The sequence below is a fragment of the Homo sapiens genome, chromosome 20 (genome assembly GCF_000001405.40).
Source record: "Homo sapiens chromosome 20, GRCh38.p14 Primary Assembly".
In the NCBI taxonomy this organism is placed as follows: Eukaryota; Metazoa; Chordata; class Mammalia; order Primates; family Hominidae; genus Homo; species Homo sapiens.
In genome coordinates this window covers 46,115,479-46,141,315 of record NC_000020.11, presented here as the reverse complement: position 1 = coordinate 46,141,315, position 25,837 = coordinate 46,115,479, and the positions used below count along the sequence as shown (strand labels likewise).

The 25,837-nt window shown below is 51.2% G+C and overlaps 1 protein-coding gene across 13 annotated transcripts, besides 8 other annotated features; it reads right to left on the bottom strand.

Moving 5' to 3' along the window:
* Positions 8,199–8,248: an enhancer, noted in NCBI's record as "active region_17967". NCBI's record gives its function as "activates an Ori minimal core promoter by ATAC-STARR-seq in GM12878 lymphoblastoid cells {active_cell/tissue: GM12878}" and the evidence as "EXISTENCE:reporter gene assay evidence [ECO:0000049][PMID:35858748]".
* Positions 11,247–11,396: an enhancer, noted in NCBI's record as "active region_17966". NCBI's record gives its function as "activates an Ori minimal core promoter by ATAC-STARR-seq in GM12878 lymphoblastoid cells {active_cell/tissue: GM12878}" and the evidence as "EXISTENCE:reporter gene assay evidence [ECO:0000049][PMID:35858748]".
* On the bottom strand, positions 11,458–23,002 carry CD40 (CD40 molecule). Of its 13 annotated transcripts, none has more exons than NM_001302753.2 (9): positions 22,922–23,002; positions 19,418–19,496; positions 18,958–19,083; positions 18,560–18,706; positions 18,097–18,190; positions 14,575–14,676; positions 13,092–13,178; positions 12,958–12,986; positions 11,458–12,434 (listed from the first exon to the last, which is right to left on the bottom strand). In NM_001302753.2, the coding sequence occupies exons 1-8, from the start codon at positions 22,970–22,972 to the stop codon at positions 12,959–12,961; spliced, it is 714 nt and encodes a 237-aa protein (NP_001289682.1). In that variant the 5' UTR covers positions 22,973–23,002; the 3' UTR covers positions 11,458–12,434; position 12,958. The 13 variants fall into 13 exon arrangements, 11 of the variants coding, with proteins under 11 accessions (NP_001289682.1, XP_016883624.1, NP_001309350.1 ...); XM_017028135.2 differs by having other exon boundaries at positions 12,958–12,981; NM_001322421.2 differs by having other exon boundaries at positions 13,080–13,178; positions 14,615–14,676.
* Positions 20,646–20,735: an enhancer, noted in NCBI's record as "active region_17965". NCBI's record gives its function as "activates an Ori minimal core promoter by ATAC-STARR-seq in GM12878 lymphoblastoid cells {active_cell/tissue: GM12878}" and the evidence as "EXISTENCE:reporter gene assay evidence [ECO:0000049][PMID:35858748]".
* Positions 21,723–23,820: a transcriptional cis regulatory region, noted in NCBI's record as "chr20:44746135-44748232 region (GRCh37/hg19 assembly coordinates) targeted for CRISPR interference". NCBI's record gives its function as "positively regulates CD40 gene expression in GM12878 lymphoblastoid cells {active_cell/tissue: GM12878}" and the evidence as "EXISTENCE:mutant phenotype evidence [ECO:0000015][PMID:33828297]".
* Positions 21,780–22,129: an enhancer, noted in NCBI's record as "active region_17964". NCBI's record gives its function as "activates an Ori minimal core promoter by ATAC-STARR-seq in GM12878 lymphoblastoid cells {active_cell/tissue: GM12878}" and the evidence as "EXISTENCE:reporter gene assay evidence [ECO:0000049][PMID:35858748]".
* Positions 22,965–23,781: an enhancer, noted in NCBI's record as "H3K27ac-H3K4me1 hESC enhancer chr20:44746174-44746990 (GRCh37/hg19 assembly coordinates)". NCBI's record gives its function as "activates a minimal SCP1, AML or CMV promoter by ChIP-STARR-seq in primed H9 embryonic stem cells {active_cell/tissue: H9 hESC(primed)}" and the evidence as "EXISTENCE:reporter gene assay evidence [ECO:0000049][PMID:30033119]".
* Positions 23,004–23,223: a silencer, noted in NCBI's record as "fragment chr20:44746732-44746951 (GRCh37/hg19 assembly coordinates)". NCBI's record gives its function as "represses an EF-1alpha promoter that drives an FKBP-Casp9 reporter gene in an ReSE screen in K562 erythroleukemia cells {active_cell/tissue: K562}" and the evidence as "EXISTENCE:reporter gene assay evidence [ECO:0000049][PMID:32094911]".
* Positions 23,140–23,199: an enhancer, noted in NCBI's record as "active region_17963". NCBI's record gives its function as "activates an Ori minimal core promoter by ATAC-STARR-seq in GM12878 lymphoblastoid cells {active_cell/tissue: GM12878}" and the evidence as "EXISTENCE:reporter gene assay evidence [ECO:0000049][PMID:35858748]".

Sequence of the window (25,837 nt, the reverse complement as noted above, 5' to 3'; positions counted from 1 at the left end):
AGGCTGAAGCAATGGCCCCAGTGAGAGATGTGAGGTCTGGGCTAGAGCAGAGGAAGCTGAACCTAAGGTCACCTGAACCCCACTCAACCCCTCAAGCCCCAGAGCCTAACACCTGCATTGCCACCTTGCTTTCTGTTCATCCCAAGTCCCACCTCTTCCCCCAGCTCTCTCTGACCCTCCATCCTCACACTCCTCCATTTTTCAGATGAGAAAACTGAAACACAGAGAGGTCTAGCAAGTTGCCCAATATCACACAGTGAATAAATGGTGGAGCTGGGATTCAAACCCGGGGACTCTGACTCAATCCATATTACAATGATGGAGAGAATGGAATCCAACCACCTATCCAGCAAGGAACCCCTTTGTTAGTGAGCTATTCCTTGCATACCTCCAGTGTCAGGCATTTCACCCCCTCCAGGATCAGGCTGCTTTTTTGGTCAGGTGGATTTGTACATCCCTCTTTTTCTGTGCCACAGTCTGTCTTCCTGTAGCATCTCCCCACTGGCAATGCAGCAGAGGCCTGGGGAGTGGCAAGGTGGCATAGAGGTTAAAATGAGGACCCTAAAGCCGAGCCGACCTGGATTCATAGCTGTGTGTCCTCCAGCAAGTTGCCTTACCTCTCTGGGCATCCACATCCTCATGTGTGAGCCTGACTGATGATGGAACTGGCTTCTGTGCTGTGAGGATTACATGGCAGATGTTTAGCCCATTGCCAGGCCCACAGCAAGCTCTGGATAAGTGGGAGTGTGATCCACTTAGGATGACAGGTGACAAGGATCCCATTTAGGATGACAATATCTGCTCAGTACACTCTGTGACCTTCTCACCCAGGACCCCTTGCTCCTCTCCCTCAAAGTCATTGGTCCAGGTCCTCAGCTCCCAGCTCTGCTCTACTTCATCCCATCCTAGGCTTTCCCCTCTGCCCCCTCCAACTCCTTCCTGTGGCTCAGGTAAGCCCAGCTGCACCTGCTCCCCCTCCTAATCAGAATGCCAGGGGCCACCGCCCCCGCCCCCTGCAGAGCCCCATGGGGCTCCTAGTTAATTCCTCTTCCTCAATCAGCTGTGCTCTAGTGGCCTCTCTACTGATTGCCCCTTTGTTCCCTGCCAGGCCGGTGCCTCTGGAAGATGCCCAGATCCACCCACCGCCCCCTGGGTGCAGGCCAGCCAGCCTGCCCTGCCCACCTGGCTCTGTCCATTAGGCTGTGTCTGGGCCTGCAGCCTTCTGAGTGGGCTGGGATGCGAACAGGGCATGTACAAACAAAACCAACAGGAGCCTGTGGGTGTGCACACACAGGTGCAGTCCAGAAACAGACATACTTGTGTTAATTCCAGCAACACACACACACACACTAAAGAGAAACAGCAACCACCATGAGCAGGAGGCAAAGTGCTATACACACATTCTTTTAAAGGACATCCACACTAACCAGGAAAACACACACACTTTTGTAGACAAAACCCCACAAATCCAAACCACCGAGGGACACACATACACACACATTCCAGCAGGGGCTCTATCCACTGGAGCCTGGATTTCGGCTCTCTGCCCCTCCTCCTGCTTCTTAACTCCTTGGATGGGCTGGCTAATGCCCAAGGCCCTCGGTCTGAGCAAGCACAGATAACGAGGCAAATCTCATTTCCAGAGCAGTCTATGTCTGGCTTCCACCCCCGCCCCACCTAATGTGAGCCCGGGGCTGCACTCAGACACACACCCACCCAGCCAGCAACATCAATAGGTGCTGAGGGTCTGGCTGTCTGGCCTTCATCATCCCCCAAAGCCACTGTACTCCTTCCTCAGAAGGGGAGAGGGTCAAGGTCCCAGAGCAAGACCAGGGCAGGCTAGGGAGGGCCTGTCCTGCCCAGTGGCCCCAGCAGACCCTTGACTACTCAAGGGACCTCATTGTTTCCCTGTGGCCAGGGCTGGCCTTGCTCAGGAGGCCGAATGATCACATCCCAGCCGGCTGGCTGCCTCCAATTCCAGCTCAGTGCTCAGGGTGGTGGGGGGCCCCCTGAGAGCTGGCTAAAGTGGGAGGGGAGGCAGGAAAGCTCTGGCACTCTGGGCTTGGCAAGTCCACTGTGGACCCTTTGGCTCTGAGGCCAGCCCCTGATGCACCAGCCTGAGACACAGCCATCCTGCAGGATCTTTGTGGGGAATATCCCAGACACTGCTGGGCAAAGAGGAGGGAGAGGGCACCAAGCAGCCCCAACCCTCGCCCTGCTCCAAGATCGGAACTCAGCTGGAATATGAAGTCCTACTACAGAGGTTGTTAAAATATTGAACTACTTCCAAACCTCCTGGTAAACAGCTGTGGCCCCAAGCTGCCTGAGTAACCCCAACACTGGTGCCTTCCCTTGGGTCTCCCTTCATTCCCAAAACTTAGGCACGAACACCTGGCACAGCAGGGGGCCTCCACGGCGGGTAATTAAATATGGGAAGCATCACCCAGGCCCTTGGCCCTGACTCTGACTCTGTCTTCACTCCCACCTCACCCTGAATGCAACCCCTCCCACTCCCTCCTTGCTCTCTGACCCTGGGAGTTTGGAAGCATGAGTGACACAGGACCCATCACAAGCTGGAGGGTCTTTCATTCAGCCCCTTAGATAAGGATCCTATTGGGCAAGAGGCTCCATAGAGAGTTGGTGGCATAAGCAGAACGCAGCCCCACCCCATCAAAGGAAGGAAAGCCAGTGAAGTCCCCTCTCTGGGTCTCAGCCAAGGGGAGTGGCAATAGCCCTCCCACCTGAGCCCCAGCTCCTGGCTCCCACCCCTTGCTGTCCCCCTGCTGCCAGTCCCTCGATCATCTGTATGGATTTATTTCACAATAATTTCATTTCATCTCTGGCTCCAGAAAGATGGATTGGCCAGCGAGGTGATCGGGGAATCGGTGTTGGGCTCATAAATTTGCTGCCCCTCTATGAAGCTCCCATGAAGTCCCCTGCACTTGAGGTGGCGGAACGGAAGGGGAATGAGTGTGACAGGCCCATCTCTCCCTGCCACCTTCACTGGGGCAGGGGATGGGGTGGCAGGAGGGCAGCTTGAAAGCCTGAAAAAGAGAGAATTTCCCCACCCTAGAAATAGGTTGTCTCTCCACCTTTGTTACAAATAAGGCTATTTGTCACTTGGCTGGGAGGATAACCCGCCTTGCCCCGCCCCTCCTCAGCCCCAGCCACAGGAGAGGCAGTCACCAGCTGAGTGGCACTGGGGAACAGGGGCAAGAAGCAGGAGTGGGTGCCCCTCCTCTTCCCTCTCACTAGTCAGCAGGAGGCATTGTGCTGGGCAGAATGGAAGTTTTGTCCCTCCCAAAAGGAGGGAGCAACACACACACAAGCACACGCACATCATGCACACCTAACCAGCATGCACACACACCAACACCTGCTAGAGAAGAGATCACAAGTGCAATAGCACAATCAAGGCAGAGTAGGAGAAAGGAGCATGGGATTTGAAACTGGGAGCCAGATATTGAATACTGGTTCTGCGTGTGGCCTTGGGACGCTTACTCAACCTTTCTGAGCTGCACCTTGCTCAGCTGCAAGGATGACCATACACCTTCAAAGGACTGTTGTCAGGACCAAATGAGATAATATGGGAAAAGCACCTGGCACATAAATGGTATCAAGAATCACGATTACTATACCCACCCACACCAACCACTCCCTTACTACACGTGCACGCACGCATGCACACACACATACCTCTCCATTCTATACGTCTCTCCATCGTGTGATTTGTCCTTCTTTTCATATCTGCACAATCCCTAATTGACTTCTCACCTTTGACCTTCAGGAGCTGCCCAGAATGATGCATCCCAGAGTCTCCTGGGGCTGCATTCAGGTCTTCTACCCTGGGTCCACCCCTGGACATTAGAACCCTCCCTCATCCTATTCCACACAGTCCCTCCTGCCCCAACTTGCGTGCTCCCAGCTGTCTGGAAACCAGTCCCAGAGATAAGGCTAGATAGAGCCTAGAGGTCCTTTGGGACAGGTTGGCTCAGTAGAAGGATGGATGCCACTTGTGAAATAGAAGCAGTGACTCAAATAGGGAAATAAAGTCCAGACCAGGGGTCCTCAGTTCTGGCTGAATCTCAGAATCACCAGGGAAGCTCTAAAAAAATATACTGATGATTGGCCAGGCGCAGCGGCTCACACCTGCAATCCCAGCACTTTGGGAGGCCAAGGCAGATGTATCAACTTGAGGTCAGGAGTTCAAGACCAGCCCGGCCAACATAGTGAAACCCCGTCTCTACTAGAAATACAAAAGTTAGCCTGGTGTGATGGCGGGCACCTGTCATCCCAGCTACTCAGGAGATTGAGGCAGGAGAATCGTTTGAACCCAGGAGGTGGAGGTTGCAGTGAACCAAGATCGCGCCACTGCACTCCAGCCTGGGTGACAGAGCAAGACTGTCTCAAAAAAAAAAAAAAAAATACTGATGCCTAGACTATGACCGTCACATGCCACCTCCATGGAAATTTTATCTAATTGGTCTGGGATGTGGCCTGGGTAATTCTAGGGGTTAGGAACAGAAGCTTTGCAGCCAGGTGGAACCGAGGCCCCGCCCTGCATGTTCTAGCTGCCTGATCATGGATGAAGGAGCCGCTTCCCCTCTCTGAGCCTCAGTTTTTCTCATCTGAGATACGGAGTGAGCCAACACACAAAGGGCTTCAAGAAGATTTGGAACACCGGTCTTTAGCACAGGGCCTGGCACTTGGTAGTGCTTGGGAGGAGAAGGGCTTCCTCCCAGGAGCCAGTGGGGTTCCCTCAGCTCTTGGTGGCTCTGGGGTTGCTGCCAGCTCCTTCCCTCAGGCACTGCTGTGCCCTCCCGCCTCTCTCCATATTAAACATTAGCCCCCTGCCTTCCTCAAGCCCCAGGCTCAGCATTTCATTTCCCCTGCCCCCACCCCGTATTAACACTTCCCAGGGGTCCTTCAATTAGATTCACACAAGAGTCCCTTCCTCCTCCTGACCCCCAATTTCCCAGACGAGGTGGGAGGGCAGGGAGAGGCGTCTCTGTCCCTGATTTTATCCCATCACTCGGCCCTAATTAGTATTCCAAGGAGAGCCCTCTCCACAGGCCCCAGGATTTGTTTGCCAGCGGCCAGTTCCCTGTCTCCCCAGTTCAGAGTGAGTAATTCTGTCCCTCCCAGGCCCATTTAAGGGAGTGAATAATTAGTTACATTCAATTAGGCCTCTCGCTGCTACTGTGGCTCCTGCCTGCCTCACTTTGGGGGACAGGCACGCTAATGAGATGGCACGTGTCTGATGTGGGAGCCGGTGTTAAACACCATGGACCCCCCACCCTCCGCAGGGAGCAGAGAGTCAGAGGGAATGGGTAGGGCTGGGGAGAGTGGGGTGTGGAGGGGAGAAGACAGGAGAAACTAAGGGTGGGGACTCAGGGATGAAGTCAGAGAGGAGGGGAGAGTGAAAGGTGGAGAGAAAATGGGAGGTAGGAGACGAAGAGATGGAGAGAGAGGAAAAGCGGAGGAGGCACCAGGGAGAGACTCATGAGGAAAAGGAAAGAGAAACACTGCCTGAAAGTCCAGGAGGGACTTCATGGAGCCTCTTCATGAATCAGCATCCAGCCCTACAGTGGAATCCTATGCACCAATTAAAAAGCATGCTGTTGCTGGGTGCAGTTGCTCAGGCCTGTAACCCTAGCACTTTGGGAGGCCAAGGCAGGTGGATCACTTGAGCCCAGGAGTTTGAGACCAGCCTGGGCAACCTGGCGAAATGCCATCTCTACAAAGAAACACAAAACTTAGCCAGGTGTGGTGTTGCATCCCTGTAGTCCCAGCTACTCAGGGGCCTGAGGCGGGAGGATCACCTGAGCCCACGAGGTTGAGGCTGCAGTGAGCCATGATCGTGCCACTCCAGCCTGAGTGACAGAGTGAGACCAAAAAAAAAAAGCCATGCTGTCCATTTCTATGTAATTGGCATGGAGAGACGTCTGCCGTACACTGCTAAGCAAAGAAGGCTGCTTACAAAACAATGCATATAATAATAGCCCAAGTTTAAAAAAAAAAATGTTTATCTCAGAGAAAACAAGTCTAGAAGGACCCATATCTTGTGGTTAGCAGGGGGTGGGAGGTTTACAAGTGGTCTTACTTCCCTGGTCCTGTTTATTGCTTGGATGAGGGGTGTGGTGCATGAGCATGACTTTTATAATTAGGCAGAATAATAACACTTGTTCAAAAGAGAACAAGGTGAGTCGGAATAGCTGGAGATGGGAAAGGAGGTAGTTAGAAAGCATTGGAGAAAGCAGGAAGGAGGGTGCGGGCAGATGCTGCAGAGGATGGGAAGGAGCACTGGAGTGAGCGGGAGGCAGAGAACTAGCTGGGCACCAAGGCCCAGAGGGATGTGCCAGTCAGCAGGGAGCCCCAGGGACAGGAAGGGAGGGCGAGCATAGGAAGAGAGAGGCGCCCTCACCCCCTGCCCACTGGCTGTAGCTGGCTGGGCCCAAGCTGCTCACCGACCTTGCTGGGCTTCTCCTGGAGCACCCACGGTAACCATACTGCTCATCCCAGGAGGAGCCCCCTCAGGAGCTTCCTCCATTTCCCCAACTCCAGGACCACAGCATAGATTTCTTTTTTTTCTTTCTTTGTTTTTACAAATTAAAACTGCATCTCCCCACCCCTACAGATGGGTTTGTAATTTGCTGTGCCAGAATCAGTCGGTGGGAGAGAAGTCCTTGGGGGCAGGGTCTTTAATAACTTCTGCTGCCCGAGGAATTGACTGCAGGGCCTGAAGGCTTAAGTGGGAGAGCTGGTGTGTGTTCCTGCCTGTGGCTGGGGCTGCACGGGTGGGAGTGTCGGGGGACTGTTCATAGAATGAGGAGGACATCTACACACAACTAGGCCTCTCCCAAGGGAAGTCCCTCAGTCCCAGAGCATCAGTGCCTTAGGCCCTGGTTACCTGGGGTGCACAGGGTGGATCCTAAGCCCCCAGGGGCTCTTCAACTCCTGGCTGGGCACAGAGAGAGACAAGCTGCCCAGGACATGTTGCCTGAGCCAGCTCTGGACTTTCTCAGTGCCTCTGTTTCCCCACGTATAAAAACAAAAGGATAGGACACAGGGAAGTTTCCAGTCTCTTTTAATCCCAGCCGTCTGTGACATGCTTTCCCATGCTCTCACCAAGCTTTTGTGGGTTTTTTTGTTTTTTTGGTTTTTTTTAGACAGAGTTTCGCTCTTGTTGCCCAGGCTGGACTGCAGTGGTGCAATCTCGGCTCACTGCAACTTCCACCTCCAGGGTTCAAGCGATTCTCCTGCCTCAGCTTCCTGAGTAGCAGGGGTTACAGGCACGCACCACCATGACCGCAAATTTTGTTGTATTTTTAGCAGAGATGGGGTTTCACCATGTTGGCCAGGCTGGTCTTGAACTCCTGACCACAGGTGATCTGCCTGCCTCAGCCTCCCAAAGTGCTGGGATTACAATCGTGAGCACAATGCCCGGCCACTTTTGTGGATTTTTTGACCAATTTTTGGAATTTAAAAATAGTAAGAGTTCACATAAAAATCCAGATTCCAGGCCTGGCACGGTGGCTCATGCCTGTAATCCCAGCACTTTCAGAGGCCGAGGCGGGCAGATCACGAGGTCAGGAGATCGAGACCAACCTGGCTAACATGGCGAAACTCCATCGCCACTAAAAATACAAAAAATTAACCAGGCATGGTGGTGGGCGCCTGTAGTCCCAACTACTCGGGAGGCTGAGGCAGGAGAATGGCATGAACCTGGAAGGCGGAGCTTGCAGTGAGCCGAGATCATGCCACTGCACTCCAGCCTGGGCGACGACACAGCGAGACTCTGTCTCAAAAAAAAAAAAAAATCCAGATTCCAGACAATCTGCAACCCTCATTCCTGCTCGGCAACCATTGGAAGGAGCCAATGGAGGCTGTCCCCCAAAGATGGGCAGAGCCTCTCCATTTTGCCTAGCGTCTGCCACCTGACTTGACTCCCAGCCCTTTCTCCAGCCCCTGCGGGCATGAGTTTACATCACCCCGCAACATATGCCTACTTTCCTACTCACTGAATGAGCAAAAACCTCAGGCTTTTGAGTCAACCTAATTAGGTCCAAATTCCAGCTCTAACTCTCGAGACCTTAGCAAGTCATTTGACTTCTGCATCTCATCTGTAAAAAGTATATTGTAAGAGACCACGTCTTACGCAGGGCTGTCATAAAGATTAAGGCAATGCATGCAAAGTCCTTAGCGCTGTGCCTAGCACATAGTGAGCACTCAGTGTCTTAGCAGTGTCACTGTGCACAACCCTAGCTCCGGATGGGGCACACAGTGGGACCGCAGCTGGTATTTGTTAAGGAAGGAAGTATTCATGACAAGGATGAGACCTGGGAATGGATGAAGTTGCAGAGTAGAAGCTTCAGGAGGCTCAGGCTGATGGGGTCAAGGGAAGAAAGGTCTCCTCTTCCAAGTGTGGGCGGGTGTGGGGCGAGTCAGCAAACCCAACTTTACTCAGGGAGCCCAAGCCGCCGCCAGGGTCTTCGGGCGTTACCTTGGCGCCACCTTCTGGCTGATGCGCGCCTCACGGCCACCCCCTCCGTCCACGCACCGGGCAGGACCCTACACCCTGAAGAGGTTGGTCCTCTCCGCTATTTTCAGAACTGGAAGGATCCTTAGAACTCCTAGGGACCCATCATGCATCCGGGAACAAAAGCCCAGAACTGAGTAACTTTCCTGAGGCCATATAGAAAGCTCCTGGCCAATCTCTATTTAGAACCAGAATGTGCTAACGCTGCCAAGAATAACCACCTCTTCCCTTCATTAGGGACGCTAAGAAAAACAAAATTGCACATTGTTGTGCATGGGCTCTGCTGATTCTCAGGGGGAACTTCTCCCAGAAGCAGATCCTGAGACTAGGGATGAATGCAGGTCGTTTATTTGGGAGTTGAACCCGGGAAGCACCAGTGGTGGAGAGGGGATGTGAGACAGGGAAAGGATGGGAATCAGTGCAGAGTGCCCACTGTAGGTTCCATAGCTCAGTCCCTCCAGGGAGCCTCGGAGACACTGTAGAACACAGCTCACATTTGTCCCTCCCAAGGGCAAGGAAGCTTGAGTATTTATCCTCCCACTTTCAACCTTGGCTGGCTGAAAGTACTTCGGGGAATTAACTCCCCCATCTACAGCTTACCTGGCCTGCCTCTGCACCAAGCATGTTTTCAAGACCTGGAAAAGCCCTGAGGCAAGTGATCCCCAGTGCTTGCAGTCAGAAACTGGCTGCTTACACAGTATAGGAATATGAATGCTGGCTGGGCGCGGTGGCTCACCCTGTAATCCCAGCACTTTGGGAGGCCGAGGCGGGAGGATCACTTGAGGTGAGGAGTTCAAGACCAGCCTGGACAACATGGTGAAACCCCTGTCTCTACTAAAAATACAAAAAATTAACTAGGCGTGGTGGCGCACACCCATAGTCCCAGGTACTTGGGAGGCTGAGGGAGGAGAGTCACTTGAACCTGGGAGATGGAGGCTGCAGTGAGCTGGGGTGGCACCACTGCACTCCAGCCTGGGCAACATAGCAAGACAACACCTCAAAAGAAAGAAAGAAAGAAAGAAAGAAATATGAAGGCAGTAGTTCCCCAAGTATAAACCCTGGGCCGGCAGCATCAATACCACTTGGGAAACTTCTTAGAATGCAAATTCTTGATCTCCATCCCAGACCCACAGAATCAGAAACACAGGAGGTGGGGCCCCACGATCTTTAACAAGAAGAGGTGGTTATTCTTGGCAGCGTTAGCACGTTCTGGTTCTAAACAGAGATTGGCCAGGAGCTTTCTATGTGGCCTCAGGAAAGTTACTCAGTTCTGGGCTTTTGTTCCCGGATGCATGATGGGTCCCTAGGAGTTCTAAGGATCCTTCCAGTTCTGAAAATAGTGGAGAGGACCACCTTGCAGGTGGTCCAGATACACGCTCAAGTTTTGTTGTTGTTGCTATTGTTGTTGTTGTTGTTGCTATTGTTGTTGTTGTTATTTTAGATGGAGTTTCACTCTGTTGCCCAGGCTGGAGTACAGTGGCATGATCTCGGCTCACTGCAACCTCCACCTCCCGGGTTCAAGTGATTCTTCTGCCTCAGCCTCCCAAGTAGCTGGGATTACAGGCACCCGCCATCATGCCCGGCTAATTTTTGTATTTTTAGTAGAGACGGGGTTTTGCCCTGTTGGTCAGGCTGGTCTCGAACTCCTGACCTTAGGTTATCTGCCCACCTAAGCCTCCCAGAGTGCTGGGATTACAGACGTGAGCCACTGCGCCTGACCCACACTCAAATTTGAGAAGCTCTGACCTAGAAGAGAACACAGGAGGCATCAATAGCGTCTGCTGCAGATATTGTCACCATTTGTCAGATAGGGAAACTGAGAAGTGAAGCAGTGAAAGTGACTCATCCAAGGCCACACAGATGATCTGTGGCAGGCGTGGGTCTTTGGTCTCTTTCCACCATACCACCAAAGAAGTGAACAACACTCACTCTTAGGCTCTAGATAAGAGACAAGAATTAGGTCCCAAAGTTCCCCTTCCCCGCCACCACCACTTTGCTCCACTTTCTAAACCAAAGGCCTCCACCTGGTGTATCCAAATGGTTCTTGAAGCTCTTCTGGGAAGCCTGCCAAGCCAGGTGCCCCTCTCTTGGCTCGCAGCTGCCCTCACAGCCTCCACTGGGATAAGCCCTCTCCACATCTCCCCTTGCCCCCCATCGCCCCACACCCTCCAGCCAGCAGGATGTGTTGGGGAAATCCAAAGCAGGTTCTTTCCTGGGAAAGGCTGAGACCCCTGGGTTAAACCTCACCTCGAACCTTTGTGCCGGGGTTCTGCATGGCACTTTGCATTGCTCTTCCTTCTCCTCCTTGTCCTCCAACCTTCCTCCCCTCCCCTCCCCTCTGCTCCCACTCCATCTGCCGCTCCTCCTGGCTAGGCTCCCCCTCAGTTGGCTCAGCAGGAAAAGAGAACAGGATGGTTTATTTTTATCCTGAGATACTGCTTGGGGGAAGGGGATACCATCTGACCGAGAAGCAGTAGCTCCTGCAGCCACAGGGAGGTCAGAAGGCGGTGAGAGACCCAGGATCTCCCTGGGAAGGAGCTACAGATGTCAGTTCCAGACAGCAGGCAGATCTGGGAGGAGCTCAGGACCCAGAGTGAGGAGCTCTGAGCATGGCACCACCAGACACCGCTGTGTGACCACAGGCAAGTCACTTCGCCTCTCTGGACCTCATTTCCACCTCTGTAAAAGAGGGAGGGATGCAGACCCACCCTGCTGGGGAAGGCTATTTTTGTGAACATGAATCAAATGGGAAGAGCACTTTGCAATCTCAATACCACATGTGAGCACACATGGAAACCACCCTGGAGGGGCAGCAGCCTGGGGACATTCTTATTTATCTACAGAAAATGCCCTCATTCCGTGAGCCTGACAGCAGGTTAAATAGCTCATGTCACCCAGCATGTTCACCCCCGTTTTTCTTTTTACATGTTTGATGATTTTTTAATTACATAAGCATTATGTGAATTCACTCTCCTTTTGGGAAAAATGATGAAGCATTATGGGAAAGCCAAATCTCCCTTTAACCAACCCTCCCCCAGACCCTTCTTCCCCACCCCAGACGTCACCACTCTTCGAGCTGTGGGTTTTCTGTGTACCCTTCCAGAACCCTTGTTATATCAATATATGATGCATATTGTATTTATACATATATCCATAGGCAATATACATACATAAAAGCATGTACTTTTTTAAAAAGTTCCATACCCATCATTCAGCAGCATGCCTTTTTTTCCTTACTCAACAGTGTTTTTGAGATTCTGTTGTATAAATATATTCTAATTTTATTTAGCCAGTCTCCTGCTGATGGACAGTTAAGCAGCTTCCAGTTGTTCACTATCACAAACAATGCTGCAATGGGCATCTGTGTATATGGCTTCCTGGGCGCAGGGAAGCCACCATGATGCCTCTCTGGGCACCAAACTGCTGGATCGGAAGGTCTGGTGGATATTACTAAACCATACCCCAACACCACCACCACCAAACTTCTGCCTCTGTCTTTAATACAAGTTGGGAGACTGGATGGGCTCCAGGGTGAAGTGAGAGGTTCTTCAAGGTGAACTGTTTCTGCATCCAGTGCCAGGTCTCCTGTCTCAAACTGCAGGGGTGCAGGCAGAAGCGGGGAGCTATGCCCAGTCAGTGCCAGCCCCTCACCCTCACGCCACAGCAGCAGCAGCACCAGGCTCTCTGGCCAACTGCCTGTTTGCCCACGTGGCCACACTCCTGGGTGGGTGCAGCCTCACTGTCTCTCCTGCACTGAGATGCGACTCTCTTTGCCATCCTCCTGGGTGACCGGTTGGCATCCATGTAAAGTCTCCTGCACTGGAGCAGCAGTGTTGGAGCCAGGAAGATCGTCGGGAAAATTGATCTCCTGGGGTTCCTGCTTGGGGTGGGGGGCCTGGAGAGGCAAGGTGTGAGGTCACCCCCAGCAGCAGGGGCAGCTGTGCCTCTGAGGAGCCCCTCCCTGGGAAGCGGATCCCTTCCCCAAGCCCTCCCCCCTTTCCCAGACGGCGGGTCAGTGCTGATTCCTCGGGTGCCTCCTGCCCCCTGCTGGCCACACCAAGGGCGACGAAGAGCTTCCAGAGTGGGAGCCAGTGGGCTTAAGGGGCTGCCACATTTGCTCCCACCCATTTGACCCAGCCCCAAGGCCCAAAGATGCAGCTCCCCACGCGTTGAATGCCAGGAAAGGAGTGAAGAACAGCCAGTGTTAGGCTCTGCCAGTGGTGCCAGGGGCAGTTCTGTGGGGGATTGAGCTCTGGATGGAAGGAGCATGGTGGGTGGGGATGACAGTCCCCAATTCTGCTGCCACCCCACTGGCTGCAGAGACAGACTCTGAATCAGTTTTACTGCCCCATAGGCAACCGTGAGGCCATCTTCCCAGTTTGTCAAAACTCTGTCCCGGGTTCTCAGGGGTGACCTACCTTATTGGTTGGCTTCTTGGCCACCTTTTCTAAAAAAAAAAAAAAAAAAAAAAAGGATGGGGAGTTGGAGAGGCCAGATAAGAAACAGGTGGTCTCCCCTCCCTCCCCCAACACCTCCCCACCTGAGGACTCACTGATAAAGACCAGCACCAAGAGGATGGCAAACAGGATCCCGAAGATGATGGGGATCACCACCAGGGCTCTCAGCCGATCCTGGGGACCTGGAGAAATCAGGACTTCAGCATGCACCCCTCACCTGCAGTTTCTCCCTACCCTCAACCTGCTGTGACTTGTCAGACTCCAGAATCTTCCAATGTCAGAGCTCATCTACATCAGAAGGTTCAAACCGCGGTCCTTGGGGAAATGTGGCTGGCAGATGTCTTTAAAGGAGCCAGAACATTTTCTTAACGTTTGGAAATATTTGCCGACATTTTTAAACTGGGAGATCACATATTCAAACCTAGACATCTGATTTCTCTTACAAACTGGGAAGACTGGGTTCCAGTTGGCAGCCTCCCCACCTGGGAACCATCTAGAAGCGAGTGGTGGCAGTGGCTGTCACCACCTGCTCACCATGCTCCCCGCCACTCCCTGCTCTCTGCCCAATGCCGAGGTCTAGCATGATTCATGTCTGCATGTTGCTTTTGGTATAGAAGAGTGGAGGGGAAAGGTAAAGTATTTCTCATGCCGAATTTTTTTTTCAAAGTGGGAAAATAAAAGAAAGACCAAAAGGCAGGGCGGAGACTAGCGTGAGGCAAGGGATGAAATTGTTTCAGGACAAAATTGAAAAGGATGTCCAAAACACTCAGTCATCAAGGTAAACATTCTTTTAATGCCATATTTTGAAAATCATCAGGCGGACACCAAGTCAGCAAACTACGGCCTGCAGGCTGGCTGCCTATTCCTTTTACTGGAACCAGGGCCAGGATTAGGGTGAGGTGAGTGAGGCAGGGTCATGCAAACACAGGGTCGGATCCTGTTCTTTATTTAAAATGTTGCTATCTTGCTCATCATGGATTTCTTTGCATTAATTTTTATTTTTAAAAATATTGCATCAAAATGAATTTACCTTGATTACTACACTTTTATGGCACCTTCTTAAATATTGCGCCCGAGGGCAAGTGCCTTGCTCACCTCATTCTAGTCCCAGCCCTACAAAGAGGAAAGTACATTTTGAGAAAAAGCAAAGAGAATGTATTTTTCGTTTTTTTAAATTTTATTATTATTATACTTTAAGCTTTAGGGTACATGTGCATAATGTGCAGGTTTGTTACATATGTATACATGTACCATGTTGGTGTGCTGCACCCATTAACTGGTCATTTAGCGTTAGGTAAAGAGAATGTAATTTTCTTACCCCTGACCTTTTTCACTGATTTACATTATCTGATCTTTACTGTAGGCCAACCTTCTCACTCTAAAATCAAAACCTACTAAGGAAGTGCTGTTATCATCCCATTTTACAGATGAAGAAACTGAGGCTAAGAGAGGGGAAGTGATTTGCCCAGACTCCCAAGATAAGTGGCAGAGCTGTGATACCACACCCCCAAACTGCCTCCCCTCCCCTTTTTCCCATCCAGTGTTCCTGTGTGCCTCATCTCCCCCTTCAGTTCCCACCTTCCTAGGCTTTCTCCAGGGCCCATTGTCCAGGACTCACCACAGACAACATCAGTCTTGTTTGTGCCTGCCTGTTGCACAACCAGGTCTTTGGTCTCACAGCTATGCACAGACACGTGCACAAATGCACACACACAGAGAAAGAAAGAGATATTAAGTTTCCCCAAGCATAAGATTTCCAACTCTAGAGTGAGTCAGTCAACAATCAACAAATCCAGGTTCACTGAGCACACAACACGTGCAACGTCCTATGCTGGTTATTATAGGAACGACACAGACTCTTCTTACAGAACTTAAAAGTGCAGAGAAAAGATTCTTGCACATCTTGAAGGAGTAATAAATAGGGGAGTCTATAATGAGTGCCAAGCTTTGTGATCTAGGTAGGCTAAAGTGAGATGGGAATGGTTCAGAGGAGACAGAATCCACCAAGGCTGGAATGGAGAGATGATGAGTTCAGCTTAAGATAGGGTTACTCAACGTCAGCACCAGTGACACTTGGGCTGGATCATTATTTACTGGGGGTGTGGGGGTGGGGGTGGGCTGTCCTATGCATTGCAGATGTTCAGCAGCATCCCTGGCCTCTATCCGCCAGATCCCTGTAGCATCCCCCTCTCCGTTTGTGACGAATGAAATGTGTCCAGACATTGGCAAACGTTCCACAGGGAGCAAAACTGCCCCCTGTTGAGAACCTCTGGTTTAAGGTTCTTCCAGAAAGACTTCCCTGAGGACATATGACCTGAGTGGGCCCTAAAGGATGTAAAATTTGGATCAGCAGTGCAGTCCCGCTAAGTGGGACGATGTGATGTGGGGAAATAAGGCAGGTGGCATGCAGGATGGTGTTAGGAAACTATGGAAAATTGTGTCTTTAGAACCAGATCACTGCCAAGTGTGAAGTTTTCAACTGGATTCAGCTGGTCAGTCTCATCAGCATCCAACCAGGCGACTTCACTAGTGAGAAGATTCAGCTGCCCAGAGAGCTCAGAGGAGGAGAAATTACAGAAGAGTGGCCAGCCAGGAGACACAGCAAACATATAGATATGAGATGATGAAGACCTGGTCCAGGTGGCCCCAGGAGGAGTGGGGCGGAATGGACACAGGACATTGCAAAGGAAAAATCATCTAAGGTGGGAGAAAGAGAGAGAAGCTTTGAAGAAACCATGTACTTTAGTCTTTTTTTTTTTTTTTTTTTTTTTTTGAGACAGAGTCTTGCTCTTTCGCCAGACTGGCTGGAATGCAGTGGCGCGATCTCAGCTCACTGCAACCTCCACCTCCCAGGTTCAAGCAATTCTCCTGCCTCCGCCTCCTGAGTAGCTGGGACTACAGATGTGCGCCACCACGCCCAGCTAATTTTTGTATTTTTAGTAGAGACAGGGTTTTACCATATTAGCCAGGATGGTCTCGATCTCTTGACCTCATGATCTGCCCTCCTCGGCCTCCCAAAGTGCTGCAATTACAGGTGTGAGCCACCACGCCCGGCCTACTTTAGTCTTACATGAGTAGAGCATTCAGGAATTTACAATACACTTTACATGTTTTTAGCTCAAGCCTTGTGAAATGAAGGTCATTCCCATTTTTCAGATGAGGAGACTGAGGCTCAGTGAGGGTCACACACTTACTGAGCTGTAATCAGATACGTAAGCCAATGCACTGATTCCATTAATACTATACCACTGGTGGCCGGGCACGGTGGCTCACGCCTGTAATCCCAGCACTTTGGGAGGCCAAGGCAGACGGATCACGAGGTCAGGAGATCAAGACCATCCTGGCTAACACGGTGAAACGCCGTCTCTACTAAAAATACAAAAAAATTAGCCGGGTGTGGTGGCGGGCGCCTATAGTCCCAGCTACTCAGGAGGCTGAGGCAGGAGAATGGCGTGAACCTGGGAGGCAGAGCTTGCAGTGAGCCGAGATTGCGCCACTGCACTCCAGCCTGGGCGACAGAGTGAGACTCTGTCTCAAAAAAAAAAAAAAAAAAAAAAAAAAAAAAAAACTATACCAGTGGTGCCTCCAGTTATCAGTCAACATTTATCAGTAAAAATTTAAGCACCTACCATGCGTCAGGTACTGTTCCAGGTATAGGGGATGTATCAATGGAAGAAAAAAAAAAGGCCAAGTTTCTACATTTAAGGAATTTTCAATCTATTAGGGAAAGGCAGACAGTTAACAAATAAAATGTATACTCCTATTTGTGCAAAAGTAAAAGGAGGGAAATTTTGTGTGTGTTTGTGTGTGTGTGTGTGTGTGTTGGTTTGTTTATATGTAGAATCTCTGGAAGGATATGCAAGGAACAATGGCTCCCTCCAGAAAGAACTGGGAGCCTAAGGGGCAGGGATGGGAGAAAGACATCACTTTGGCTCTTTTGTGCCTTCTGTCCCATGTGCCTATCTTGCCCATTTTTAAAAATCAAATGCAAAAAGTTAATGGGGCAGGTGTTTGTTTTTTGAGACAGAATGTCGCTCTGTTGCCCAGGCTGGAGTGCAGTGGCGCTATCTTGGCTCACTGCAAACTCCACCTTCCGGGTTCAAGTGATTCTCCTGCCTCAGCCTCCCGAGGAGCTGGGATTACAGGCGCCCACCACCACACCCAGCTAATTTTTTGGTATTTTTAGTAGAGATGGGTTTTTACCATGTTGTGCTGGCTGGTCTTGAACTCCTGACCTCAAGTGATCCACCCGCCTTGGCATCCAAAGTGCTGAGATTACAGGCAAGAGCCACCGCGCCTGGCCTGGGGCCCATGTTTAAGGTATTCCAGGCAGATGAGTTTGATGGAAGAGAATGAACAGTGTGTTCAGAGGATTGCAAGTAGCATGAAGCTATGCGATGCAGGAAAGAGAGCAGGAAATGCAACAGGAAGGTTGGGTGCCATGCTAAGGAGTCTTAGTTCCAACAGAGAGACAGGAAGCATCTCAAATAGGAGAGTGTCATGATTTGAAAGAAACTGTCGAACGCTCATGTTGGCAAGAGGATGGAGACAGAACCAGCAGGAGGGGAGAGACAGAGGCAGGGAGGCCAGGAGGCAGAAAAGGCATCACCCAGACCACAGTGATGAGGCCCAAACTAAAGTGACAACAGTGGAGACAGTAAGTTCCCAAAACACGTAGACAGCCAGTGGCAGGACCTGGTGTGGGTTTGGAGTTGGAGGTAAGAGAGGGAGGCCCTCAGGGTGAGCACCCAGAGCCCAGAAAGCCCTAGAAAGCCAGGTAAGGTGAAAGCAAGACGAGGAAAACTGAGGAGAAGCAGGAGGGGCAGAAGGAAAGCTAAAATAAGTGTCCCAATACCCCCAAGATAGGAGGCTCTCATGAAGCGAGAGATCAACAGTGTCTATTACCTCAAAGAGACAGCAGGCAAAAAAAATGTGGAAATGTGCCTGTCTGGTTGGCCATGAGGCCACTCTGCAGATGCTTCACAAGTACATGAGTGTGTGTGGACCTCTGGGAGCAGGGACAGGACAGGTGGCTGGAGAGAATGGAGGCAGCTCCATGCCACTCTTAGAGCAGGAAACACAAGGGATGAGTGCTTATACCTTGTCCAAGGGTGACATTTTTCGAAAGCAGATGACACATTGGAGAAGAAGCCGACTGGGCAGGGCTCGCAGATGGTATCAGAAACCCCTGTAGCTGGGAGTGGGTGGGGAGGGGGACATTAACCATCACAGTGGACCACCTGTCCGGCTCACAAGGCAGCCAGTGGCCAGGCAGGACGGGAAGAGCTCCTGCCTTGAGCACTCTTCCCCCGATGTGGTACTGCCCCCGACAGCTGCAGTCCCCAGGAGGACTTCTCCCATTGCCCTTCAAAGGCAGATCCCCATGGCAGAAGGCAGAATGAACAAGGTCCCGTCTGCAGCTCACTCCAGTGGGGATACCGACATAGGTTGGAGCCTCTGCTTCCTCTGCCTCTGGGGCTAAGTGCCCACTGCCCAGCCCCTCACCTTGGGCCCTAAGCTCCTCTGTCCCCCTCCAAAACTGATTCCCAGATGAGCCACTTACCAATCTGCTTGACCCCAAAGCCGGGCGAGCATGAGCGGTGCAGGACACAGCTCTCACAGGCCTCACTCGTACAGTGCCAGCCTTCTTCACAGGTGCAGATGGTGTCTGTTTCTGAGGTGCCCTTCTGCTGGACCCGAAGCCCTAGGTCTGAGAAGAGAAGGGCAGGAAGGATGGGAACCCCCTGCTGGGCCATGCTCTGAGCCTCACTCCCCACATTGCCTGCTCTTTCTTCCTCAGACCCTCTTCCAAGTAGAGATGGCAATCAAATCATTTAATGATCAGTACAGCCCGGACTCCAACCAATCAGAGCAGACCCTGGCTACATAAAATTAGAATGGCTGCATTGTCGGGAATATCAGCCCGGTTCCCAAGCGTCCCTTTCCCAACAGCGCACGCACTGGGGTCGCAGTATTTGTGCTGGTGGCAGTGTGTCTCTCTGTTCCAGGTGTCTAGGAATTCGCTTTCACCGCAAGGAAGGCATTCCGTTTCAGTGAACTCTGTGCAGTCACTCACCAGTTTCTGTCCTGGAAAACATCAGGAAATGAGGGAGGGCTCTGGCCAACTCCATGAGTCAGACACTAACCACACAATGATCAGGCCAGGCTTTAGGGTAGGGGATTCAAAGATGAAAGTCTTGGATCCTTCATAATCAGGCGAGGAAGATGGAGAAGCTGGGATCCCTAGTTCAGGGTAGACAGAGTTTTACCTGGTAGAGAGGGAACCAGAACATTCTGACAGTGAAGCAGGGCTGGGAAATGGGTCGTTTCAGATTTGAGTTTACAGTTAACATATGGGGTCTGCGTCTGCCACCAAAGCAAAGGGGGACTCCATGATGGGGCTAGAGGGTTGGCATCTCACCTGGCTGGCACAAAGAACAGCACTGACTGTTTATTAGGTACTGTTTTTCTCTGCATGCAGTGGGTGGTTCTGGATGGACCTAAAAACAGAATTGTGCAATTTGAAGGGATCTTGAAATCTCCGTTGCAACTTCTTCAGCAGAAAGGTAAAAGTCATCCAGGACAGAGGCTGCAAACTGAAGTGCAAGTCAAAACAGAAAGTGGAACCTGCATGATATTTGGCATGTTTGTTTTCAAGTAAATTGTCAACTGAGCTGATTATAATCGCACCCAGAGAATCATTCTGGTATTTTTACAAAGCAATGGTACTGTAAACTCACAATATTCTCTGAACAGAACAGAATTCCTTGGGGCTTGATGCCTGAGTCATTCCTCTTCCCAAAGATCCCATAGGATATGGGGACTCCAGCAGCTCCCCTGGAGTCCTGAAGCTGGCTGACTTCAGCTGGTCCCAGTGCTGTTTGGGGCTATGTTTAGCACTTGGCCTCTTCCTCCTATTCTTCTGCTTCCCTTCCTGCTCCTTTCCAAAGCCCATCATGTTTTCTTCCTCCAACTCCTCATCATCTGTTCATCCAGCCCTTCCCTCATAAAATGCTAGAATGTAAAGCTGGAAGGGTAAACTCACACTTTCATTTTACAGATAGTTGAGACTGAGCACCAAAGAGGAGGGTCACTTGCCCAGAGTCTCACAGTGACAGAGTCCAAATGAGAACTCAGGTCTCAATGCTCCTCTCTCCATCAACTTGTGTTTCATCTTCACCATTTTACTACATCCAGGTACCACCCATGCTATTAATTACTTATTGTTAATTTCAATACTTTTATTTTATTTTTTGAGACAGAGTCTCGCTCCATCGCCCAGGCTGGAGTGCAGTGGCATCATCTCAGCCCACTGCAACCTCTATCTCCTGGGTTCAAGCAATTCTCCAGCCTCAGCCTCCTGAGTAGCTGGGATTACAGGTGTGTACCACTATGCCCGGCTAATTTATGTATTTTTAGTAGAGACAGGGTTTCACCATGTTGGCCAGGCTGATCTAAAACTCCTGACCTCAAGTGATCTGACTGCCTTGGCCTCCCAAAGTGCTGGGATTACAGGCACAAGCCACCGTGCCTGGCCGGTACATTTACTTTAAATGTAAACCTCACATCATTGCCAAGAGACAAGAACCAGTATCACTTCTCATAAATAAAAGGTAACCCTAAAAATAAATTCTGGGGAAACAAAACAAGGTTATTAAAACCCAGCTGGTTGTTTGCTTGTTGAAGGCCCTCCCAGGCCTGCTCTTGATTTTTGTTTTAAAAGAAGGATTAGCAAGCCTTTGAGAGGCATTAACTCTATTCTAGCTCCAGAGACTTCCTCTTTGAAAAAATGAGAAGGATTTTTAAAAGAACTGTAAAGTAAGTGTATGTTTAATTCTATGTCCATGTGCTCCTTAAAACTGTCCCACAGTTTGGGAACAGCCAGTGAAAAGAACACAAGTTTGAGAGTCAGACAGCTTTAGACTCCAGTCCTGACTTTGTAACACTTACTAGTTATTTTGCTTCTCTTAGCCTCAGTTTCTCTATCTCTAAAATGGGAGTAATAATGCCTGCCCTGCAGGTTGGATTACGAAGATAAGAAAGAATACATGTATATGGCCTAGCACAGTGTCAGGAACATAGTAGGTGCTCATTAAATGGCAATTTTAATCATCATTCATTTGTTTCTGCTTGCATGATATATGGCAAGCAGCCCGGCTACCTGGCTGGCTGTCCAGAATCCTACCTAACTGGTGGCTCTCATTCAACCTGGGTATCTCAGCAAATTACTTACAGAAATGTGTCTTACCCAAAATGGGAAAGGAAGTAGAAAAGGCTACTGCCCCCCACCAGCTCATTGCAAGACACCATCCTGTGAACGTGGAGCTCCCACACTCCCAAAGATAGGAAAGTCCTTGATACCATCTTCAAACACATGAGAAATAAAACGCTCCCCTAAAAGTCTGTCAATCTCCAGTTCTCACTCCCCATAGTTCTGGTCCTTCTGCCACAAAACAGCTCAGGACCAGAGCTTGGAGACTCTCACTATCTGAGAGGCAGGCTCGGGAATCATGCAGATGTAGATTCACAACCAGGTTCTTCCATTAGCTAGCTATGAGACCTTTGGCAAGACAATCCCCCTTTCTGAGCCTCAATTTGCCCATCTGTATAATGGGGGAGTTGTGAGAAATCAGACAAAGAAAACAGGCAGTGTTTGGCTCAGAGCCTGACACACAAGAAGCCCTCAATAGATAGCTTCTGACATTGTTGTCACAGCCCAGCCTCTACCTGGAGCCAAAGTTGGGAGTTATGAGGGCAAACTCTGCTCTTGAGAAGCCTGGATCACACCCTTCACCCCACCTCCTCTGGCTCTTTCTCCACTCCTACCACAAGGGCCCCCCTTTACCTCTTTCCAGCTCCGCCCTCCCCCTGCCTCCCTGTTCCCTAAGAGCCATTGCTTCAGGTGAAAGTGAAAGCTGTGGGACCAAAGCAGCCTCCCCACTCCCTCTCTTCCCTTGCTGCTTCCCTTGCTTTCCTTGATACCATGGGTCATTCCTGCCCAGGCTTCAGGCAGGAATCTACAGCCCTCTAAAGTAGGGGGAGGCCAGAGGGGCTGGGATGAAGGAGCCAGGTACTTGGGGGATTCCCAGCCTCCAGAATGAGGAACTACAAAAATACATTTAAACAAAAAGTGAGTCAAGTGTAGGCTTCTGAAAATCCCGGAGATATGCTTGGTTGGCTCTGAGCCCCTCTGGTGCCTGGAGAAACCCCTGGTTTCTCCAGCCCTCTGATCACCAGCCCTGTCAGAGCCAACCAGAACTCTGGTCTCCTAACCCTTTATTGTGTCCCATAAACTGTTCATCTCCCCAGGGGTCTCCTATGTCATCTTAAATTCAGGAGAAAAAGGCAAAGCCCTGGGGATTCCTCCTAGGTTGGAACACCCAAGATACGGTTCGGGGTGGAAGGCGATGTTAAAAGCTCCTTGCCTTCTCACAAAAGTACCTGGGCCTCTGCACCCATCTCTTGTTCCCACAAGATGCCCTGGAAGAAGGCAGCCCCAGCTGGCAAGGAGATGATAACTACTTACAGAGGCTGGCATCTGTCCACAATAAGAAGGGGACAGGAAACGGGCCAGACCCGCCCCTTCCCTTGGTCCGCCTCACTTCCCGCCCTCTGAACCCCCTACCAGTCTCTGTGTGGCCAGCCTCTGAGGCTCCCTAAACCCGTCCAGGCCGTCTAGGCACGCTTGGGCAGCCAGTGCCTTCCCTGAGCGGCCCCTGTAGGCCGCTCCCGGGACCCCAGCCCGGGAGAAGAGAGAGGCAGCCCACCCCATTCAGCCAGGAGCGGGGGCACCTTGCCCAGCTCCCACCCACCCTCCTGCCCCCACAAAAATCAGCCAGGAAGGCCTCTTCCCCGAAGTCTTCCTTCCCTTTCCTTCTCATTCCCCACTCCCAACTCCCGTCTGGTCGGGGCAAAAACAACTCACAGCGGTCAGCAAGCAGCCCCAGAGGACGCACTGCAGAGGCAGACGAACCATAGCGAGGTGAGACCAGGCGGCAGGACCACTGGGCGCCCGAGCGAGGCCTCTGCTGACTCCCCTGCCCCAGCCTTGGCCCCGCCCAGGAAAGGGGCGGGGTCTTCAAAGACCAATCGCGGTCCACCTATCGGGGGGGCGGAGCCCCCAGCAATTCACCGCGCAGGAGTTTCCCCAGAACATTCCCACAAGTCTAATTCCCCCGGGAGTTTAGGGACGCATCTTGCTGTGTACGGGAGGAGGCATGGTCCCAGAGACAGCTCTTCTTCTTTGCCCCCAGGTCCCACAAAGGCCAAGCCGAGGCGGGCTAGGAGCTAGCCTGCTTCCTGCGACCGGAGAGAGATCCCATGGGTGCTGGGGCCTGCCACAGGGACCCTCACGGTTTTCCCCTCCCTGCCCCGCTCTCCGCTGCCTCTAGGTATCCTGGCAGAACCGAAAGAGGCTCCACTGCGGAGAGGCCTGAGGAAGTTCCCCCCACACCACCACGCAGAAAACGGGAAGGCCACAGCTGGGGTATGGGGAGGCGTTTCAAGGAAGAGTTTCCCAACTCAGAATTTCGCTCTCTTTCAAAGGAAATTCCCTCGTGTGGGCGCGTCGTCTCAACTTCCCATCCATTCATCCATGCATCCATGCGTCCTCACCTCATTCCATTCCATCCCACCTCCCACCCAGCACCTGGAGACAGGCATTTATTAAGAGTGGGGCCGGGCGCGGTGGCTCACGCCTGTAATCCAGCACTTTAGGAGGCCGAGGCGGGCAGATCACTTGAGGTCAGGAGTTCGAGACCAACCTGGCCAACATAGTGAAACTCCGTCTCTACTAAAAATACAAAAATTAACCGGATGTAGTGGCGTTCGCCTGTAATCCCAGCTACTCGGGAGGCTGAGGCAGGAGAATCGCTTGAACCGCAGAGGCAGAGATTGCAATGAGCCGAGATCGTGCCACTGCACTCCAGCCTCGAAGGCAGAGCAAGACTCAGTCTCAAAAAAAAAAAAAATAAATAATAAATAAAAATAAAAATAAAGGTGGGGGCCAGGCGCGGTGGCTTACGCCTGTAATCTAACACTTTGGAAGGCCAAAAAGGGAGATTGCTTGAGGCCAGGAGTTCAAGACCAGCCTGGCAACATGGCAAGACCCCCATCTCTACAAAATAAAGAAATTTTTAAGTTAGCCAGGCATGGTGGCAAACACCTGTAGTCCCAGCTACTCAGGAGGCTGAGGCAGGAGGATCGCTTGAGCTCAAGAAGTCAAGGTTGCAGTGAGCCATGATTGCAATGATTACATCACTGCACTTCAGCCTGGGCGACAGTGCAAAACTCCATCTCAAAAAAAAAAAAAGAGTGGGCCAGCCTTTTGTGGCATCATAAAACACTTTAAGTATGTTAGGAAACTCGGGACCCTCTCATTTTGCAGAAACACACACACTTGTGCCTACATTTCCTGGGTTCATGAACTCTGAAGACGTGCTTTTGTTTTTTTGTTTTTTGTTTCGTTTTGTTTTTTGGGTGTTTGTTTGGTTTTTGGTTTTTGGGTTTTTTTTGACAGAGTCTCATTCTGTTGCCCAGGCTGGAGTGCAGTGGCATGATCTCGGCTCACTGCAACCTCTGCCTCCTGGGTTCAAGCAATTCTCCTGCCTCAGCCTCCCGAGTAGCTGGGATTACAGGCTGGCGCCACCACGCCCAGCTAATTTTTGTATTTTTAGTAGAGACGGGGTTTCTCCACGTTGGCCAGGCTGGTCTCAAACTCCTGACCTCAGGTGATCCGCCTGCCTTGGCCTCCCAAAGTGCTGAGATTACAGGCATGAGCCACCGCACCTGGCCCTCAAGATGTTCTTGAACCAGTGTTAACACTCTGCTTTGCAGCATGGAACACCTGGGTTCTGGTGCAGCCTCTGCCTCTGAAGGACTGTGTTCCCTTAGGCCTAAATTTTTCTCCAAGGAAAACTTAGGAGCTTGAACTAGACAACGGTTGAGGTGATGACCCTCCAAGCTCTCAATTTCTGGAAGAGGACAAGAGGCCAGACCTCACAGATCAGGGAGGATGGAAGAGGAGGACACTTCTAACCCCATTCTCATGGCTTCTGCTGTTAAGGGCACATTTGCAAGTCTTGTGGATTCTGCCTCTAGGATCCATCCCTTATTTTCTGTCACCTCTGCCACTGCCCTAATTCAGAGGGTGCCATCTTTCATCTGGACTGTCCCAACAGCCTCTCTCATTCCACAGGATTTATTGAGCACCTACTATGTGCCAGGCAACTCTTTACACTGCTGCGATTCTCTTGATAAACTCCAGATCTGATCGACTGGGACACTTTCCTGCATAAAAGCCTCTTTGGGTTTCCCTGCACCCTCAGGATGATCCAAATTTCTTATCCTGGCAAAGCACACCCTTCCTCACTCAGCCCCAACCTCTCTTTCTATGCTTACTTCCTGCCACGTCCTCCCATGCACACTGGCTTCAGCCTCTCCCCACTTCCCAGGCACACAATCTTTTTTCCTTACGGTTTATCTCATTGCTCTTGATGTTTCCTTCCTTTCCTTCTCCTTTCTTAAACAGTTTAAATGTTGCCTCCTCTTACACCTTCCCCAACTCCCTGAGGCAGAGGTAGGTACTCTATCCCACCCTGCCTCCTCCCCTGTGTTGCCACAGCATTTAGCATGCCAGCTCATAACTCCTTCTGCCTGGTCCCATTTGACTGTGAGCTCCCTGAGGGCAGGACTGGATCTATCCCAGTCCTAGGTACATAATAGGACACCAATATATGGGTGCTGAATGAATGAATAAATGAATGAGTGGGTTCAGCAACTTCTCATCCTAAGTACAGCCTCCAATCATGACAAAGAGTTGGTGGCAGGGGGTGCGAAGCTG